The sequence below is a fragment of the Homo sapiens genome, chromosome 6 (assembly GCF_000001405.40).
Source record: "Homo sapiens chromosome 6, GRCh38.p14 Primary Assembly".
Classification (NCBI taxonomy): Eukaryota; Metazoa; Chordata; class Mammalia; order Primates; family Hominidae; genus Homo; species Homo sapiens.
Window position 1 is genome coordinate 118546842 of NC_000006.12, and position 18511 is coordinate 118565352.

The 18511-nt window shown below is 33.8% G+C and overlaps 2 protein-coding genes across 14 annotated transcripts in view; one reads left to right on the forward strand and one right to left on the reverse strand.

Moving 5' to 3' along the window:
* CEP85L (centrosomal protein 85L) overlaps nucleotides 1-18511 on the reverse strand; it is a 249318-nt gene that overhangs the window by 86070 nt on the left and 144737 nt on the right. Inside the window, exon 1 of one of the 13 annotated variants that reach the window (XM_047418762.1) lies at nucleotides 17095-17195. The exons of the other annotated variants lie outside the window; for them this stretch is intronic. The gene's annotated coding sequence lies outside the window, so the exon portion shown is untranslated. Of the gene's footprint in view, nucleotides 1-17094; nucleotides 17196-18511 lie in introns of those variants that run through there. 13 annotated transcript variants of the gene reach the window in all.
* PLN (phospholamban) lies at nucleotides 1455-14875 on the forward strand. Its single transcript, NM_002667.5, has 2 exons — nucleotides 1455-1551; nucleotides 11984-14875. Exon 2 carries the CDS (start codon nucleotides 12081-12083, stop codon nucleotides 12237-12239), a length of 159 nt encoding a protein of 52 aa, NP_002658.1. The 5' UTR covers nucleotides 1455-1551; nucleotides 11984-12080; the 3' UTR covers nucleotides 12240-14875.

An 18511-nucleotide genomic window follows, 5' to 3' on the forward strand; every position in this document is an offset into this window, starting at 1 on the left:
TTCTGCAATTTCCTTAACTTGGGTTTTACTTTTAAGTTGTAAATTTTCCCTTGGCAATGTTCACAGGATATCTTTGCTAAAATATTATTTTTCAGTTAGTTTTAAGCTGACTCTTTAAATATCAAATGATTTGCTCTAGAGATGGATTTTCTTTCTTTGGAAGAAGCCAAGATCATTTCCATTTAAGGGCATGTAAGCAGCTGCTGCTACACATTTTAGTTACCCATAAGAAAGTGAAGTGGGCTAAGTTCACTCTGTCATAAGCATTTAAAAAATTAAAAATTACAAGTACCTCCTCTAAAATTAAAGAAGAGATTTAAGAATTAATATTTTCGAGTGTGGTGACTTAAGTAAATCTAACATCTAAGACAACAAATTAGATAAACAGAGAAGAGGAGAATGATGCCCGGCTTTACAAAAAAATTATTTCCCCAGTTCTACTGTAAGATAAACTGTTCTAGGAAGTTCAAAATATCATCTCACTTACTAGCATCTCATTTTTATAGTAATTTTCAGGAAAGCAACTGCTAGATTAAATGAGGCACATCCTTTCAAAAACATTACAAAACTTAAATTTCAACACATCAAACCTATAAAGCCTCATTAACTGAGATGTAACTGATTTGGAATCTGTAATTATTTCTTTTTTGCCATAAAGTTGCCCTTAATACTGCATCAGTTTATTAAAAATTTGGTAAGATTGTGTAATAATTTAATGCAATTGTTTTTAAAAAATCTTAAATACTTAAAGTAGCATATTGCTATTTTGGGGGTGTTGTATGTATCAGTTTAAATATAAGTATTACTATTCACAAATATATTGTTAAACTGCTAATTGAAGAAAACACAAATGAATTAAATACATTTATTAGTTCTTTAACTGTAAGATAAAAATAATTTTTTAAAACAAAAAGCAATTAGCCTGATTTTCTCATACTCCTTCTCCCATACACACAAGAACAAGAACAAAATAAGAAAACAGGTATAAAATTTTATTGTGTAAAAATATTTCACTTTCACTAAAAGCTAACATTATGAAGACACGTATTAAAGCAACAGCAGCAAGAATTCAATGAAAGTTGTTTTGCTTATACCTGTGTTTATTTTTCTCATAATTAAAATTCCTGCAGTAACTATTTTAGCTCTTCAACATCTTCACCATTAATATTCAATTATCTCTAAGCCTGAAGATGCATGAATCTTTAACAAAAGCTTTCCACCACCTCAAGTTTACTTATTTTTTTCATTTATCTACCATATACTGTTTTAAATTAAAAACAAAAGATGAAGCACAAAGTGTTAATGACTTTTCCATACCTAAAGTAAGAAGTTCTAAAGTTTGGTTGTGATAAGACTGAGACTGTGGCTAACCAATCGAAACTTCAGAATTCCTATGTGACATCATAAGACCTCCCTAGAACACTTTTTCTCCTCCACCTACTGCAACTGTTCCCATAAACTGGGTGACAGAGTCAGAAAACTCCCCAGCTAAACACCCGTAAGACTTCATACAACACAATACTCTATACTGTGATGATCACAGCTGCCAAGGTAAGAAACAGATTTCGCTGACTTTGGTAATTCTTACTTTCTATAATTCTTAATTCCTATAATTTCTATAATCTGAACTTTTAAAATGAGTTAATTTTATGAATATCAGTTCAATCTTAGGCAATAAAATGACATGACAAAGTGCTTAAATTTATAAATGCTTATCCATTTAGTGACAGGAAAAATGAGACAACTTTGAAATGAAAAAGGTCATATTCATCTTTGATCCTGGTTACTGGTTTGTCATTTAAATTTATCTTTCACTTTTATTTTGCTTTTCAAATGTGAATTTCTGCCAATTAAAAAATCTTCCAATTATGTTACCATATTTGGTAGTAGTGGTTAATTTCTCCATGCAAAAACAATGACTTAATTTTGTTATTTATTGCTCTGCTGAGAAACAGTGCAGAACTGAGCTATTTACATCTGAACTAATATGAATAGTCATTTGACTACAACATGCACATTATCAGCATGCCTATTCCAATATTATCATAATTTCATACAGTGAATAATGAAATGGAGTTTCAGAATATATAATACAAGCTACTTTTAAAGTGCCCTTGAGGATGTTTCCCCTCTAAAGTCCAGTCAACTTTTAACAAACATTTCTAAAAAAATTCCATGCTATTAATAAATTGAGTTACTGATATTAAATTCAATATTGTATCATAAAGAAGTTTAGAAATTTTAAAACAATGTTCACAAACACAAAAAATCTGACGTTAGAGAATAATTTGATACTTTAAAAAGTTATTTTGACACACGAATATTCTTAACTATCTTATTTTCACACAAATTTGATTAAATGGATTTCTGCCTATTAATGCCTATAGTTTTGTCAAGTTATTATCCTCCAGTGGTACTCCATTTCCTCTCTCGGATTTAGAAAGAAAGGAAAAAATAAAATAAATGCCAGGAATGGAGATGCCACAATCAATTTTATGACTTCTGTTTGAATTCTACCCTATTCTTTATGTTACAATCCTCAATTTAGTAAATGAAACGTTTCCTCATTCTTAGATCTCTGTCAGGGCATACAGAAAATTACATATATTTTATTTATTTTGATTTTCATATTTCATATATATGTTAAAATAAAATTTATCTCTAAAATTCTCAATTCCTATGACAAATGTTAATTCTATTGCTCACTACAAATAAGAACTTTGTAACTCTGTAAGCAGCTTTCCTTAAGACATAAAAAAACATAATTTTTGTCTACCACTGAGGTATCCTAATTGTGTCTCCATATCTCTATACTCATATTTTTCCTTTGATAGTACATAAAAGTCATTCAGTGTAGGTGTCTTATGTTATTTGTGCATTTTTATTCAAATATCTATCAAATTACATTCTCACACTTCAAATTGGGTGTTCACGAGTTATTTTATTGTATCAGAATTTTGCTATATCACATATTACTCTAAAAAGTACACATACTTCTGGATAGAGCAGAAATTATATTAAACTTACCCTTAGCTCACTAGTATGTCTCAGTTAACAGAAATTACAGTTACAGAGACTGCTAAAATTTCAAATATAATGTGGTAGTACCATACATTGTGTCCCAACTAGTTCATCTATACCTTAAGGTGCAAGTTAAGTATTATCTTTGTTTATGAAGACATGTGGTTTCAAAGTAAGTGCTAAAAAAAGTGTTAGATGAAATCAAATGGAAAAAATATGAAAGATGTTTAAATTAAGAAGCATTAAGTTTTAAAAACGCATGAAAGAGCCAGAGTACTTGCTTTACTAAAAGGCGTGACAGCACTATCATTTCCTAAAACTCAAATATCAAATCCATTTTATTTGTATTTTAGTAGGCATAAAGGAAAATGATCACATTTGGGTATATAATCATATCTTTAATTAGTGAGATTAAGAAATAATAAAATATTGCATAAATACAATAGTTTCAGAAAATTTTAATGTATTTTAATGTTTTAATGTACTCATTACACATGTACACTAAATTATGTAATATATTAAATTTTTAATTAAAAAACCTAAAGTCTAGTTACCTCTCCAAATTAGACAATATATTACCAATCCCAGAAATGAGGAGGGCCAATGAACACTTCTTTTTTATTCTTAAAGAGCAATTTCCTAATATACTCGTGTACACAAATATTTCATTTGGTCCTCTTAATTATATATTTGATACTGCATCCCTATTCTACAATTTAGGAAAGATGCAAAAAGGTGAACTGCTCAAGATCACAGAACTAAGAAAACAGGGAAACCTTGGCAGAAGTTTAGGTTTTGTCACTAAGCCACATGCACATCCTCTATATACTGATCAGCATGGCTTAAAGTAAACCATGACACTGACAAACAAAATTTGAAAGCCCCCAAATACTGTAAATGATATTCTAAAAGGCAAAAGGCAAATTCAGAGAATACAAACTTCTATTTTAATTAAAAGCCATTCCACTCCATTTAAATTCAATTTATGCATAGCATTACATTCTTAATAGTCTAAATTATATTCTACTGATCATTTTCAAAACCAGAAATATACGAAAATTACAGATGCCCTTAGTTATTAAGCAATACCTCCTGGAAGGCAAAATTCAAACTAACTGCACAGACTTTAAAAAAAATAACACACCCCAATCAATCAAAGTTTCCTTTTATTTGTTTCATTGCTAAAATACTCATGCCTTCAATTCATCTGATACCTAAAATCCAAGTTAACATCTCCTCAAAACTTTCACAAAAATCACATTTCGATACTTTATTCTAGGTTCCCTAGAATCAAGTAGTCTCTTTGTACAATTTCAAAGTTCTTACCCAGAGTAATTCTGAAGCATGTGTTACCAAATAAACACATGAAAATGAAGCCTGGATGTACAGCATACTCATAGTCAACTGAGGACCTCTAGTGCCTTTGAAAAGGTACTCCATCTTTAGTTTTCAACCCCCAACCCCCGCACAAAAAAAAAGGTTGACTAACTCACTCACATTAATAGGGGGTATATTTATTAAGTGGCATTCATTTTAAATCCTTAAGACTTTCTCAATACTACCTCCCCATATTCTCTTCCCCCAGAAAAGATTCTGAATTTCCAACTCCTACAGGGTTAAGAAGAATATTTTACTTGTAAATACACTTGTAAAGCATTGTTTCAATATTTAAAAAACAATAATGAAGGCAAACCTACAGACAATATAGCAACAGCAATAAGCTAAATTGTCAGTTTTAGAGAGAAAAATATCTCTGTGCTGTTGTTTAATGAATTCTCCTCAAGACAGAGCTTTAACATGAGAAGCACTTCATTATGGGTCAATTTAGGAATGAGAATATATTGATTTTTATGCATATACAATTATTTTCATAACCAGACAGAAGCAGCTTGAAGATTCTTTCAAACAGCCAGTCTGGACCAACAAAGCTCTGGAATGTTGCTACCACAAAGTAACTTCAAATAGAATGTCCAAGTTTAGTATTAGGCAATCTCAAAAGGAAAATGACTCCACTGGAGTGAACTTTTGTAAGCCAACAGATTCATCGTAAATCTAATGATGAACTGTCCTAATTTATTACCACAAGTCCAAAAAAGGGTATATGCACATTCACTTATGGCTTATCAGTGGAAATGTCAGAAAGTAGTAGAAAAATAAAATTCCAAACAATCCAAATATAGACAAGTCCTGTTTATTCAATCTATAGAAAATTCTAATCTTCTAAACCAATTAGATGGAAAAAACATCCTAGAGTATATCAGACTGTAGCCTTAGATATTACTTGAATTCAATTTAATAAAGTATTTCTTCAGTACTCCCATGTTTACTAAAAGAATAAACAAAATTAAAAGGAGAAAAGCAAAATTCTAAATTCTACAAACATAAAGAATCCCAGGAATTTATTATTTCAGCAAAAGGAATACCACCAAAAATACTGAAGTTTGAGAAGTTCTGCAAGAAGTGAACATACTTAAAGTATAGATGGAGATTAATGCTCAGCATATACAACATCATTAAAGTATCAATTGTCTAGCAAGTCATAAAGCAGGCCACCAAAAGTTTTCAGAAGACTATTGAGGTTCCTTCCGCACAAGAATGCATCTGATATTACATTGCTAAAACAGGACTCACTGCAGACAAAGTAAGGACTCCTGAAGGAGTTGATATATAGTAGCTTCCACCAAACATGTTGCCTAACATGGTATATGACATTAGTCAAAAGATTAGAGTTGCCTAATGGCTTTTCTATTTCCTTCTTCCACCTCAAAAAAAAAACCAGAATACCATCTTGAACTTGATTTTTTTTTTAATTTCCAGCGTTACTTTTCTTGAGGAAAGGACGACAACCAAAGGATTTATAAATCCCACAAAGAATAGTAAAGAATTCTTTATTTTTATTCTTCTCATTCCCCTAAAAAGTAGAGTAATCATGGATCCACAGACATAAGATACTCTGTGGATACTTTCCTGCCTCTGACATGTAACTCAAGAGACAGGAGTCTGGCATTTCTACACCCAAACTCCTAACAAGCACCTTTCATGTTTTCAATACTCTTGATTCTAGGGCCTAGAAGACAATTTGATTTTAAAATTCATCTATAAATGAATACCACTCTTGTGTCAAAACAACCAATTTATATATATTGTCATTCTTTTAATAAAAGGGTGGAGAGCAGCTTCAGTTTCCATGGTTGTTTAGGCCATATACAAGTTCAGAAAATCCCAAAACTATTTATGATTAGACTAACAGAATGCTCTAAAAAGATCAGATAACATGAAAATAAAACTAAACTATTTTTGTATGCTTTCCATCGAAAAAGTACTCTATTAAACAGCTTAGCTGTTAAGAAATTAAAAAAAAAAAAAAAAAGGAAACTCATACAGTGGTTGTCAGTGCAGAGAAGAGAATGATAAACATCTGACAACCATGCCATAAATTATAATGTAGTAAAGGTCACAGACAACTCCAAAAATAGGATTCTGCTGTTCCCACAACAAAGGTTTTCAATTCTCAATGTATGACAGGAAGCCCCATCTTCTATGGATAAAATCTGGCCTAATTATCATCATACAAATGTTGGTATTCAGTAGAACTAGGATTCCACACATTTCAGATGATAACTGTAAAAAATTGAGCCCAATAAATTAAATGTATATCATTAACATTTTAGCGTGTAAAGCAGATTTAAGTTTAGGCATAAAATCATAAAGTAGTTACAAATAACTTTAGGATTATGGCATATTTCTAAATCTGACAAGAAACAGGATACTATTTTTGGTCATCTCCTTTACACCCAATTTGTTTCCAGAAACAAACTCTTCTTTTTCAATAACAGTTAGCTGTTGTAGGATTATAAGATCATCTTTAAAGTATGTTAACTATGCTTTAAACAGTAAAGAGCTCATCTCTTTAGGGCATATCTCTGTATTTCACAAATACTAAAAACCCATTTATACAAAGCCTAGTTCAGGTTAATACTGTGTTAATCAGGTAACCATTAATTTAGGTGAATCCTCTAAGCCTCATTTTTCTCACCTGTGATAGAAAGAGACTTGAGGAAAATATTAGAGCTTACATGTCCAACTAACAAATTGTTATTAGAACTAGTTAATCTGTCAATCACAGCATTATTTTTAAAATTGTTTAACTTATTATTAAAAATGAGGGCCAGGCATGGTCATTCACACTTGTAATCCCAGGAATTACCTGAGCTCAGGAGTTTGAGACCAGCCTGTGCAGCACAGTGAAACCCTGTCCCTACCAAAAATACAAAAATTAGCCAGGCATGGTGGCGCACACCTGTGGTCTCAGCTACTCAGGAGGCTGAGGCAGGGAGATCGCTAGAGCCTGGGAAGTTGAGGTGCAGTGAGCCACGATTGCACAACTGCACTCCAGCCTGGGTGACAGAGCAAGACCCTGTCAGTCATTCATTCATCCATTCATAAAAACAATTAATTAATTAAAAATGAGATGGGGTCTCATTATGTTGCCCAAGCTGGTCTCGAACTCCTGGGCTCAAACATTCGTCCCGCCTAGGCCTTCCAAAGTGTTGGAATTATAGATGTGAGCCACCATGCCCTGCCCACAGCATTATTTTTAATTAACAATTTTCTAATAGTTTTAGTCATAAAAATCCCTTATTTAACTTTAGTGATTTATTGAAGCATACCAATTATGCACTAAGTACTAGGATACTAAATAAACACACAGTTTCTTTACTTCAGAAACTATCAGTCTAGCTGGGGATACAAACATGTAAATTGAAATTGTGCTATAATCTGACAGATATCCTCATATAGATAACACTAAAGCCCTATTAAAAACCAGTAGAGGTGACAACCAATTCCACCTTAATAACTAATGAAAGGTTTCACTAGGAAGTGATATTTAAACTGAACCTTAAGAATCAACTGAAGCTTGCATGGCAGACAATCAAAAGGTGGAGAACACATTCCAGGCAGAGATAGAACAACATGTGCAAAGAACAAAATCACAAAAGGGAATGGAGTATTTATGGAAAGGTGACATGTTTCATGTGACTGAAGTACAACTTACCAGTGTCAACGTAGGGGATGACTCCTGTATATGCTTCATGATAAACTCCTGGCCAACTCCCTCCTTTCCCATGTTTTGTCTCAAAATAATTTTTAAAATTTCTGACCTTTTAAGACCACTTAAGCCCAAAAACCTCACAAAACCATATGTTCAAATAGGAATTACCAAGTCTAATTATTATTCCTTTCTTAACTGTATTCTGCTACACATCTTCATAAAAGGTGACTACTCGGCCAGGTGCAGTGGCTCACGCCTGCAATCCCAGCACTTTGGGAGGCCGAGGCGGGTGGATCACGAGGTCGGGAGATCGAGACCATCCTGGCTAACATGGTGAAACCCCGTCTCTACTAAAAACACAAAAAAATTAGGCATGGTGGCGGGCACCTGTAGTCCCAGCTACTCGGGAGGCTAAGGCAGGAGAATGGCGTGAACCCGGGAGGTGGAGCTTGCAGTGAGCCGAGATCGTGCCACTGCACTCCAGCCTGGGCAACACAGCAAGACTGTCTCAAAAAAAAAAAAAAAAAGTGACTACTCAAATATAAATAAAATCTTCCCATAATTTTCCAATCCACTAGATCTACAATAAGCAAATATCAACATAAGCAAATATCAACATAAGCAACTTAAAGGATGAATCTCAATAAAGAACAAAAGAAAATCTATTTATATTTTACCTGAAGAATTCAAACAAAAGTCATTAAATATATGTCAAGTTTAAGCTGCTATGTCCCTTATTTTTAACTTTTGTTTTAAGTTTGGGGGTATGTGTGAAGGTTTGTTACACAGGTAAACACATGTCATGGGGAGCTTGTTGTATGTATTACTTCATCATCCCGTTATTAAGCCCAGTACCCAACAGTTTTCTGCTCCTCTGCCTCCTCCCATCCTCCCCGCTCAAGTAGACCCCAGCGTCTGTTGTTTCCTTCTTTGTGTTCATAAGTTCTTATCATCTTGCTCCCACCTGTAAGTGAGAACCTGTGGTATTTGGTTTTCTTTTCCTATGTTAGTTTGCTAGGGATAATGACCTCCAGCTCCATCCATGTTCCCGCAAAAGACATGATATCATTCTTTTTTATGGCTGCATAGTATTGCATGGTGTATATGTACCACATTTTCTTTATCCAGTCTGTCACTGATGAGCACTTAGGCCGGTTCATGTCTTTGCTATTGTGAATAGTGCTGCAATGAATATTCATGGGTGTATGTCTTTACGGCAGAAAGATTTACACTCCTCTGGATATATACCCAGTAATGGGATTGTTGGGTCGAATGGTAGTTCTGCTTTTATAAGCTGCTATTTTCTAAGTAGAAGTGTTATAGACAACCTAAATAACAGCCTTTAGCCACCTGTTTAGACAATGAAGAATATATGCTAGAAAAATACAGGTAGTTAATAACTCTTTAAGGAAAGAAAATTTGATAGAAGTTGAGTGTTTGGAACTCCTTGCTACAGACCAATATTATGAAGGGGGACAGAGTCTCAAGCCAAAAATGCCCAGTCTACTATATAATTCAGAATATAATAGACCCAAGTTGAACACTACAGAATCTAAACACCATAAACCATATGGTTTCTTTGCCAAAGTAAATGCCGGGTTCTAACTAGTCATGCCTGATACTTACCTTCCCCTTTGCCATTCTTTCAGCACTTCCTTCTGCTCCCTTCAGCACTTTCCTCTCTCAGGAATGGGCTAACAGGTTGAGATGGGCTTTTATGGGATGTATAAAAGGACTTAGGAGAAAATAAAATCTGACACCTGGGGTAAGGTAGTAATATGTTGATTAACAATAATATATCAACAAATGTTAACAGTCACTATGTCTGGCAGTTAATTACTGACTTTTTTTCTCCGTTTTTCATTTTTCTTATTTCAAAATTGACACATAAGTATACTGATTGAAAACAAAATGTCCCCAAGTGTTAATAACGATTATCTCTGGACAGTTAATACAGTTAATTTTCAGTCTATATATAATTTTTCTGTAATGACATGTAAATTCTTATTTTATTAATCATCAAAGTATAGGCCCCACAGGCAGCAATAGCTTGTGGGATCTCTGAAAGAAGGCATGATGGAAACTACTACTATTAAGTAGAAGTCTGTAAATAGGATATGTCTGTGGTAGTGAGATAATAATAATTACTATGTGTTCCAAGCTTGACAGTCTTCAGTACTTAACATCAAATCTTATTAAAATGTTACTTAAGATAACATTCTATAAAACTATAAAATCATAAAAAGGAATAACAATTTGAATCTATATTTTTGGTAAAACACTTCCCATTTAACACTATTTTATTTTAGATTAAAATTAAGATCCAGGGAACAATTTGTTGTATGCATTTCCTTTTTATGAGATTGGCTCTGGAGCTATTAATACAGTGACTGATCAAACCAATTACATCTACAGAGTAACAGATTTAAAGAAACTATATGTTAGAACTTTTACCCAAAAGAATAACCCAAAACAAGCTGTACCTTAAACCAAATACAGCAGGTCCTCAAATAACATCATTTCTATGTCATTTTGTTATAACATTTAAGTATGTGTGGGGCTTGCATATTCTCCCCACATCTGTGGGACTCTGGTTTCCTCCCATATCCCAAAACAGTGCACATTAGGTTCACTGGCATGTTTAAGTTGTCCTGGGTTGAGTGTGAGTGTGTACATGAGTGTATCCTGTGATGGAGTGGCCTCCTATCCAAGGTGGGTTCCTCCCTCCTTGAGCTGCTGGGATTGGCTCCAGCCACCAGCACCCCAAACCAGAATAAGAGGGTTGAAAAATGAATGAATGGATGAATACAAATTATTATCGAATAAAAATTGGTAAAGTCTACGGTGATCATACAAATGCATGACAATAAACGCTATGGCACAAAAGCACTCAGAGATCCCACCGTATTTGAATTGTTTTTGATCTGCATGGAGCTGGATGTGCTCCTGACAATTTTCATTTCTCAAACATGATTCCATGTTTTTAATAGACCACCACAACCACTGTTACTCACTGATTCACCAAATACTGGGTAATTATCTTTGTTGGCTTTTTTTTTTTTTTCCTGGGACAGAGTTTTGCTCTGTCACCCAGGCTGGAGTACAGTGGCATGATCTGGGCTCAATGCAACCCCTGCCTCCTGGGCTCCAGCGATCCTCCCAAGTAGCTAGGATTACAGGCACATGCCACCAGCCTAGCTAATTTTTATATTTTTAGTAGAGACAGGGTTTCACCATGTTGGCCAGGCTGGTCTCAAACTCCTGACCTCAGGGGAACTGCCCGCCTTGGCCTCCCAAAGTGCTGGGATTACAGGCATGAGCCACTGCACCTGGCCTATCTGGTTTTTATTAATCTTTCTTAAATGTATACATAGTTCATATTTCTCTCAACGTTTAATATTAGAAGTGTTTGGGGTCTTTATTGAGAAGTTTGGTGATGTTTTTGTGACCAGAAATATGCTATAGGAACTTAACTCTTGTTTACATCAATCAGCCTAGGGTAAAAATGGTTTTGTTATATGTTGTTTTGCGTAAAGTCATGGTTTCCAGGAACTTATGGAAGACACTGAGGATTACTCCAATACTTGTAGTAAATTTGGGAGAAAAAGGCAAGGACTAAAGTTACTACTCCTAACACAAATGAGACGGTCATGGTGTGCCCCATCAAAAAAGGAGAGAAAGAGAGACAGACACATAGAAACACGTGCACATACACACACACACACACACACACACACACACACACAGAGAGAGAGAGAGAGAGAGAGAGAGAGGGAGAGAGACTATAGAAACATGATGTTATAAATAACAATAGTGCTGAGGAAGATGAATTAGTGTAAAATTGTATTTTTTGTTCTGAGGATAGGTTACATAGATGATTCTAATCCATTTATTATTTTTACATTCCAGGCTACCTAAAAGAAGACAGTTATCTCATATTTGGCTGCCAGCTTTTTATCTTTCTCTCGACCACTTAAAACTTCAGACTTCCTGTCCTGCTGGTATCATGGAGAAAGTCCAATACCTCACTCGCTCAGCTATAAGAAGAGCCTCAACCATTGAAATGCCTCAACAAGCACGTCAAAAGCTACAGAATCTATTTATCAATTTCTGTCTCATCTTAATATGTCTCTTGCTGATCTGTATCATCGTGATGCTTCTCTGAAGTTCTGCTACAACCTCTAGATCTGCAGCTTGCCACATCAGCTTAAAATCTGTCATCCCATGCAGACAGGAAAACAATATTGTATAACAGACCACTTCCTGAGTAGAAGAGTTTCTTTGTGAAAAGGTCAAGATTAAGACTAAAACTTATTGTTACCATATGTATTCATCTGTTGGATCTTGTAAACATGAAAAGGGCTTTATTTTCAAAAATTAACTTCAAAATAAGTGTATAAAATGCAACTGTTGATTTCCTCAACATGGCTCACAAATTTCTATCCCAAATCTTTTCTGAAGATGAAGAGTTTAGTTTTAAAACTGCACTGCCAACAAGTTCACTTCATATATAAAGCATTATTTTTACTCTTTTGAGGTGAATATAATTTATATTACAATGTAAAAGCTTCTTTAATACTAAGTATTTTTCAGGTCTTCACCAAGTATCAAAGTAATAACACAAATGAAGTGTCATTATTCAAAATAGTCCACTGACTCCTCACATCTGTTATCTTATTATAAAGAACTATTTGTAGTAACTATCAGAATCTACATTCTAAAACAGAAATTGTATTTTTTCTATGCCACATTAACATCTTTTAAAGTTGATGAGAATCAAGTATGGAAAAGTAAGGCCATACTCTTACATAATAAAATTCCTTTTAAGTAATTTTTTCAAAGAATCACAGAATTCTAGTACATGTAGGTAAATCATAAATCTGTTCTAAGACATATGATCAACAGATGAGAACTGGTGGTTAATATGTGACAGTGAGATTAGTCATATCACTAATATACTAACAACAGAATCTAATCTTCATTTAAGGCACTGTAGTGAATTATCTGAGCTAGAGTTACCTAGCTTACCATACTATATCTTTGGAATCATGAAACCTTAAGACTTCAGAATGATTTTGCAGGTTGTCTTCCATTCCAGCCTAACATCCAATGCAGGCAAGGAAAATAAAAGATTTCCAGTGACAGAAAAATATATTATCTCAAGTATTTTTTAAAAATATATGAATTCTCTCTCCAAATATTAACTAATTATTAGATTATATTTTGAAATGAACTTGTTGGCCCATCTATTACATCTACAGCTGACCCTTGAACATGGGGGTTAGGGGAGCTGACAATTCGTGGGTCCGCAAAATCTTAACTACCTAATAGCCTACTATTGACCATAAACCTTACTGATAACATAAACAGTAAATTAACACATATTTTGCGTGTTATATGTATTATACACTATATTCCTACAATAAAGTAAGCTAGAGAAAATGTTATTTAGAAAATCATAAGAAAGAGAAAATATATTTACTATTCATTAAATGGAAGTGGGTCAACATAAAAGTCTTCATTCTCATTGTCTTCACATTGAGTAGGCAGAGGAGGAGAAAGATGGGGAGGAAGAGAAGGCGTTGGTCTTGCAGTCTTGTCTTAGGGGTGTGGGGAGTGGGGGAAAGAATATTCATGTATAAGTGGACCCTTGCAATTCAAGCCCTTGTTGTTCAAGGGTCAACTGTAATAGGATATAGCTATTTTTCTTCCTCTATCAACCAAATGGTAAGCATCTATTTTGCAGTCCACTCTACTGAGCTAAATTATAGATCCAGCTATGCTATTTATAATTATTTTCTTGATGAATAAATTTTCAATTTCTCCTCTGACCATTTCAGAACATCTTCCAATAACTCATAAAACAACTGAAGTAAAATTGAGTGCTGGAAAATATATTCACCAAACTTTGGTAATTTAAGTTGACTAAAGTTTAAAATTAAGTCTAAAATAGTTTACACCTATACTGCATAATCCAACAATTTTAATTTCAGTTGAAGACATGTTACTAATATAACTATTATTAAAAGAGTAGAGGATGTGTAATTAACCATATCTTCTAAAACATGGTTACTAAAAGAATATGTAACATCAATATTGACCTTGGTTTCTTACACAAGTGTTGCTAACTCAATAGTGAAGGAGACACTATTAAATTTTCTGAACCCATGAGAGATACTAGAGATGGGGAGTGGAAAGTGTTTGGTTCAGGGATATCTGAAGAACAGAAGGGCAGAGATTTCTTAAGTGACGCCTCATCTACAAGCTGGAAATTCCTAAAAACAAGTAGAAAGCTTATAAACAACAGGTGATACACTCACCTCACTGGTTTTAGTAAATTACCAATACAGAAAGTATCCCTAGTCTTAAAAACAAGTGGAAAATTTGAACTGATTAGTCATATTCCTTTGATTACACTGTTTGTTACAATATTTTTCTCAGTAAACAGAAATAACTAATTTTTTTGTTCTTCATTCTTTGATAGAAATTAAAATCTTATTCTGTGAGGATTACAGAATACTATAACTCAAATTATAAAGTAGAATAAACTCTTTAAATAATTATTCTTCATCATAAAGTGTAAAGAATAAGATATAAGAAAACAATTTATTTTTAAAATTTAATATACTAAATGCTCAAATATGTTCTACTATAGAATAAGTTCTTATCTTAATTTACAGGGCACTAAAAACAATTTTAAAATGCTTAATGTTGCCTTTTATATTTTAATTGGTTAAGAATATATATTTGTTTAATGCAAATCAGAATCACTATATTAAAATGAATGTTCTTGAAAACTCAGTGGGGCTGCTCTATAATACACTTACAATTGATACTAACGATAAAACGCTCTAATTATAGTTTTAATTTTATAGGGGTTTTTTTGGTGACTTTCCCCAAATAAAACAAAATCAAGACGCCCAAGTCCAGACACACAAGAGGGCAGACGTATATAAGATAACAAATTGCTACTACATAGCGATTATTTATCTTTTGATTATTTTTGAGACTTCTGGCAAAGTAGGACTATAATAAATTTTCAGAAAAGATCTGCTCTTCTGCTAAGTAACAGCACACTTCAAAATGTCCAGAAATTTTATGCTAATATTACATAGAAAACTTGACAGATGAAAAAAGTGAAACACATTACTAATTTTATTCATTAAAACAGGTATATAAAAGTCCTCTTTAACTACCTAATGAATGTGTCATATCCTAATATAGGGAGTGTCATAGTGTTCACATCTTTGAATATATAAATTATCTCAAACAGTTAAAAAATTAAAGCCAGAACAGGGTACAAAAATAAGAATAAAAATAAGAAAACTTTCTGTTCACAGGACGTAACAGAATACTTTAAACACTCTCAAGTTATAAATAAAACTTTTTCATTATTATTTCATGTTAGACAAAAAACAAGTCATTTTACTTTAACTCATTTTATCAATTTTTTTTTTTTAAATCAAGAGACAGGGTGTTACTCTGTCATGCAGGCTGGAATGCAGTCACATGATCATTGCACACTGCAGCCTTGAACTCTTGGGGTGCAAAGGATTCTCCAACCTTGGTTCCCAAGTAGCTGGCACTACAGGGGCACATCACCATATATGGCTAATTCTTTTTATTTTTTGTAGAGATGGGGTCTCATTGCCCAGGCTGGTCCCAAACTCCTATCCTCAAGCTATCCACCCCCCATCAGCCTCCCAAAGTGTTGGGATTACAGGGGTGAGCTACCATGCTTGGTCCAAATTTTTTGTTTATACAAGGGAAAATCTCCAGTAAAATATGTATAGGTGCCAATACCATAACTGTTCAAACACCCTTATGACTAAATAGGCACAAAATTTCATCTTTTTAATGACTGCCACCTGAAGTTCAGAAACATCCTAGGGAAAAAAGGATAAACAACTTCATCAATAAAGAGGCTACTATTATTTCACTACTGTCTGGGAGATCCATCGTGGGCTTACAGGAATCCAAATGGATACTGCCGTTACGTGTAGAAGTGTTTATCCTCCATCCCTTCCACCCTACCTTCCCCAAGAAAAGGAACTCAAGGGGGCCATGGAAAGGGAAGGAGTCTTCCCAAAAAGACCAGACTGTTTTTCCTCCTCTGTCATAGTCCCTATAGAGTCAGGCAGCTTAGGGGTTGCAGGGGGTGGGTAGCATAAGTGTGATGTACTACCGAGGAAAGAGTCAAAGACTAGCAGTAGGCATTACACATGGAGCCTTCTGTCATAAACCATCTGAGGGCATAATGGCTTCTTTTCATTCACAAAGGAAAATGATTCAGAGTACTACACTCCTGCACTCTTGATGATTTAGCAGAAAACCATGGAAATCAAGGAACAACACACACATAAGAATGTGTGTCTGGCTCAATAATTATTCTGGACTAAGTCCTAGGAAGAGCAAACCTTCAATGTTACAAATTAACCTGGGGAGTGGGGAGCTGTGAGAATCAAATGAGATAAAATACTGTGAAAGCTACAGAATTCTATAACATATAAATCTAAGGTTTTATTAGATTATGACTTTCAGCCAAATTCCTTTTCTTAGTTGTAAAAATATTGTTTTTTCATGGTGAGTGTTTAGGAGTTGTGCTTGCAAATCACAATTTATCAGACGGCCTGGTCCTTATTAAGGTTCTTCTCTTTATGTAAAAATTAGACTAAAAGAAAATCAGTGTTTCTATGATTTTTATCTTTTTTCCTTTTTAGAGACGGGGTCTGGCCATGTTGCCCAGGCTAGTCTCAAACTCCTGGACTCAGGCAATTCTCCTGCCTTGGCCTCCCAAATTGCTGGGATTACAGGCGTGCGCTACAGTGCCTGGCCAGAAGTCAATGTTTCAAAGAGGCTTTTAAGAAACAACTATGATGAAAGCTTTTAAAATAAAGATAATACTACTTGGAGGCTCCAAGAAGGTATTTAACAACTTTTTTCTGTAGTTTTCTAAGGAGGAAATTAGAAGGGAAGCAGTCATTTAATGATTACAACTTAGTTTGTCTAGTTTTCTTTACCTGAATTCATCTTTCTACTCCAAAACTTAAAAGCGCTATAAAGAGACCATCCCAAATAAAGTTAATCAAGAAGTAGGGCTTTCCAGGGTATATGCAAATTTTGCTCTTTAGTTGCCTTCTCTCTCTACTATGCACTAGAAAGAAGATTTAAAAACAAATTTATCTCAACAGTGTGTCCCCAACCTCCCTACCCTCCTCTGCATTGCTTTGAGGCTAAGAAAAACACCTTGTTTAAACCAGAGATTTGTCCAAGCAGAATAAAAAGCATGAATCAGTATTTACTCCTTGAAATTTGCCCAATTATCTCTATCACACCTACTCTAGTTTGGAATAGCATACTCAGCCCCACTGGACAGCTCCAATTCTGTGTAAAGACACCAGCTGGAGAAACAACTGCCTGGATCTCTGTTTTCCTATAATGACAAACATTTGAAAACTAAAACTTGACAGTATTTGAAAAATTAGGTTTCCTATTTTTCATCACTTGAATGGATAAATCACAAATTTCTAATTCAATCATAATGATTCTTCTGTTTTGATTGTGTTGTTTAAATACATAATCAAAATTATAAGAACTGTATCTAAAATAAGAATAAAGGTACATGCGACATGTTAAGGGTTCTCCTATGAATGTAGTATGTTAGGGTTCTATGTTTTGAGATCATACTCATATTTGTGAGGTTCCTGGACAAGTGATTTCCTTATCCTTTCATAGCCTATGTTCATTTATTCTATTTGTTTTTATTAGTAGTAGTAATGAATACCAATTTTACATTTTTACTCTAGGGAAAATTTGCAATTTTTTATAGAATTAATTTGTTTCAGAAAATTCTGATGATAAAAAACAGATGACAGGACTTATATCAGAAAATTAGTTTCCTTGTTAAAACAAGCTACAGAAAATTGTCTTGGAATAGAAACATTCCCAGATTAAGAAATTTACACATTTACATGCTATTCCCTAGACCAACTGGGGGCTGTATACTATTTTTCTTTATATATGATATCATCATAAAGCACTTTCTATAAGCTGATTAATGAATGCCTTGACACATAATTTTTTTTAAAAAAAAGTACATCTGATTTATAAACCTAAATAACATCATGTATCACCAAAACTTTACAAATGACTGTAGTTCCACCTTCTCATTGTACAGATGAAGAAACTGAGGCCCAGAGAAATTAAGTGAAAAAGTCATCCACGTTCTAAATCTAACAGAACCAGACACAAAATCTAAGACCTTGTATAGCCAAGTTGATGCTCTTTCTATTATACCTATGCTAGCTTTTTTGTTTCTGTTTCCAAGTTTATTTAGATTGAGTATGTTTTGCTTTATTTTTATGCCCATTTAACAAATGAAAAGGAAAGAACAAGCTAGGTACAAGGTTTTCAGATTTTCATGTTAATTAGTCTCAA